Here is a 4,001-nt window from a genome sequence, read left to right on the forward strand (position 1 = left end):
TTTTTATCCTTTTTTGTGGTTTTTCCTCATCTTCGTGGATTTATCTTCCTTTGGTCTTTGATGTTGGTGACCTTTGGATGAGGTTTCTATGTGGATGTCCTTTTTGTTGATGTTGATGCTCCTCTTTTCTGTTTGTTAGTTTTCCTTCTAACAGGCCCCTCTGCTGCAGGTCTGCTGGAGTTTGCTGGAGGTCTGCTCCAGACCCTGTTTGCCTGGATATCACCAGCAGAGGCTGCAGAACAAGGATTGCTGCCTGTTCCTTCCTCTGGAAACTGTCCCTGAGGGGCACACACCAGATGCCAGCCAGAGCTCTTCTGTATGAGATGTCTGTCGATCTCATCAGGGAGCTGTCTCCCAGTTAGCAGGCACAGGGGTCAGGGACCCACTTGAGGATGCAGTCTGTCCCTTAGCAGAGCTTGAGCGCTGTGCTGGGAGATCCGCTGCTCTTTTCAGATCTGGTAGACAGGAACATTTAAGTCTGCTGAAGCTGCACCCACAGCCCCCATTTCCCCAGGTCCTCTGTCCCAGGGAGATGGGAGTTTTATCTATAAGCCTCTGATTGGGGTTTCTGCCTTATTTTTGGGATGCCCTGACCAGACAGGAGGAATCCAGAGAGGCAGTCTGGCTACAGTGGCTTTGCTGAGCTGAGTTGGGTTTTGCCCAGTTTGAACTTTCCAGAGGCTTTGTTTACATTATGAGGGGAAAACCGCCTACTCAAGCCTCAGCAATGATGGATGCCCCTGTCCCCACCAAGCTCAAGTGTCCCAGGTCAACTTCAGACTGCTCTGCTGGCAGCGAGAATTTCAAGCCAGTGGATCTTAGCTTGCTGGGCTCTGACAGGTTGGGATCTCCTTAGCTAGACCATTTGGTTTCCTGGCTTCAGCCCCCTTTCCAGGGCAGTGAACAGTTCTGTCTTGCTCACGTTCCAGGTGCCACTGGGGTATGAAAAATAAATTCCTGCAGCTAGCTTGGTGTCTGTCCAGAGGGTCACCAGGTTTTGTGCTTGAAACCCAGGGCCCTGGTGGTGTAAGCACCCGAGGGAATCTCCTGGTCTGTGGTTTGCAAAGACCAGGGGAAAAGCATAGTATCTGAGTTGGAATGCACCGTTTCCCTTGGTAAAGTCACTCATGGCTTCCCTTGGCTATGGGAGGGAGTTCCCCAACCACTTATGCTTCCTAGGTGAGGCGATACCATACCCTGCTTCGGCTCACCCTCCCTGGCTTGCACCTACTGTCTAACCAGTCCCAGTGAGATGAGCCCACTACCTCAGTTAGAAATGCAGAAGTCACCCGCCTTCTGCATTGATCTCACTGGGAACTGCAGACCAGAGCTGTTTCTATTTGGCCATCTTGCCAGCCACCCCTTCTCCTCCACTATTATTGTATTGCTTTCTATCTCTCTCTTTTTTTTTAAAGTTCTGTTGATATTTGTTTTATAAATCTGGGTTCTTCAATGTTAGACACATATGTATTTAGGATTATTAGGTCTTATTAAAATTTTCAAAATCAATTTTTAAAAAATTTATCTTTTTATTATTATATAAAGACCTTCTCTATCTTTTATGATTGTTGGTTTAAAGTCTGTTTGCTTTTCATTCCTGTTTGCATATAATATGTTTTTTCATTTCTTTACCTTTAGTCTATAAATGTCTGTATCAGTAAGATGAGTTTATTTTAAGCAATATATAGTTGGTTCATGGTTTTTAAAATCTATTTTACTAATCTATATTTTTTAAGCAGATAATTTAATGTATTTACTTTCAAGGTTAATTGAGACGTGAAATTTTATTCTGGTCATAATATTAATTGTTATCTTATTGCTTTGTAGATTGTTTTGTCTATAGTCTGTTTGTAATTTTGGTTTGGTAGAGTTCTGCCATGTTGTCATTTGATTTCTCTCTTCCTCATTTGTGTAACTGTCTTATAAGTCTTTTGAGTTTTTCACTTTTATGTGTTTTAATGATGGCAAGTATTGACCTTTTGTTTCTGTGTTTTTAACTCTGAGCATTTCTTGTAGTGTTGGTTTAGTGGTGATGAATTGTCTTAGCATTTGCACTTCTGGAAAGCTTTATTTATGAAGCTTATTCCAACAGAATATAAAATTCATGGTTGACAGTTTTTTTTCTTCAAACGCTGTTAAAATAGAATCCCAATATATAATGGCATGTAACAGTGGACTGAGAAGTCTGCTGTTAGTCTGATGGCATTTCTTTTATAGGTGACTAGACACTCTTCTCTTGCTGATTTCAGGATATTTTTTTCTCCAGGTTGACTTTAGATAGTCTGTTGACTACATGTCTTGGCAAAATTCATCTTACAATGTATTTTTCTGGTGTTCACTTCACCTCTTGTATCTGAATGTTTAAATCTCTTGCAATACTAGGGAAGTCTTGATTATTTTCTTAAATAGGTTTTCAAATCATTTGGTCTTTTTTTGTCCCCTGGCAAGAAGAATGATTCATAAAGTTGAACAATTTGTCCCATACTTCTGAAAAGCTTCACTAATTTTTTTTTTTTTTTTTTGAGACAGGTCTTGCTTTGCTGTCCAACCTGGAGTGCAGTAGTACCATCATAGCTCACTGCAGCCTCAAACTTCTGGGCTCAAGCAATCTTCTTGCCTTAGCCTCTCAAGCAGCTGGGACCACAGGCACATGCCACTCCACTATGCCTAGCTAATTTTTTAAACTTTTAATTTTTTTGCAGAGATTGGGTCTCATTATATTTCTTAAGCTGCTCCCAAACTCTTGGACTCAAGTGATCCGCCCTGAAATTACAGGCATGAACAAATGTGCCAGGTATGTTTATTCTTTTTAAATATTTTTCTTTATTTTTGTTTAACCAAATTAATGAAAAAGACCTATATTCAAGTTCTGAGATTCCATCTTCTGCTTGGTCTGTTGTTGAAAATTTCAACTGTATTTTTAAGTTCCTTCAAAACATTTTTTTATTTCTTTTTTTTAAATTAAGATATATGTATCTACTTGGTCAACTTCTTGTTTATATCCCAAATTGATTTTCTGATTTCTTTGTGTTAGTTTTCAGGTTTCTTTTGAAACTCCATTAGCTTCTTTAAAATCAATAGTTTGAATTCTGTTTCTGGAATGTCAAAATTTTTATTTTGGTTAGGATCCAATGTTAGAAAGTTAGTGCAATCTTTTGAGGGTGCTGTAACACCCTGCTTTTTCATACTTTCATAATTGTTGTCTGGGAAATATTTTATTTCTCCCTCATTTCTGAAAGATAGCTTGGCTGTGTATAATATTCATGGATCACAATTTTCTTCTTTCAATATTTTGAATATAACTTCATTTTCTCCCCTCCTGTGAGGTTTCTGCTGCAAAAGCTGTATTTATTTTATGGGAATTCCCTTATTGTAACTTGGGGCTATTATCTTGTTGTTTTTAGAATTCACTCTTTGTCTTTCACTTATGACATTTTGACTATAAAATGCCTTGGAGAAGACTTTTAGGGTTGAATTTATTTGGGGACTTTTAATCTCCCAAGATTTGGATGTCTATATCTTTCCCTACACTTGGTAAGTTTTCAGCTATTATTTCAGCGAAATATTTTTTTCAAACTTTTTCCATTTCTTCTTTTGGAATTTTCATGATACAATTTGCAGGCTTATGGTGTCCGGTAAGTTTTGTAAACTTTCTTTACTCTTTTTTATTCTTATATCTTTTTTCAAACTGGTTAATTTCAAATGCCTATCTTCAAGTTTAGTGATTCTTTCTTCTGCTCAATCAAGTCTCCTGTTGCAGCTCTCTATTGTATTTTTTATTTAATTATTGAGTGCTTCAGCTGCAACATTTCTTCTTTTTGTTGAATTTCCTGTTCATATATTAATTTATTTTTCTTATTTTGTTGATTTATCTATCTATATTTTTATTTCTAATTGAGTTTCCTTTTCATTATTTTGAATTCCTTTTCCAGCAATTTGTTGATTTCCCTTTCATTCATGTCAGTTACTAGAGTTATTAATGTCTTTTGGTGATGTCATAT

The sequence above is a fragment of the Homo sapiens genome, chromosome 6 (genome assembly GCF_000001405.40).
Source record: "Homo sapiens chromosome 6, GRCh38.p14 Primary Assembly".
Taxonomy (NCBI): domain Eukaryota; kingdom Metazoa; phylum Chordata; class Mammalia; order Primates; family Hominidae; genus Homo; species Homo sapiens.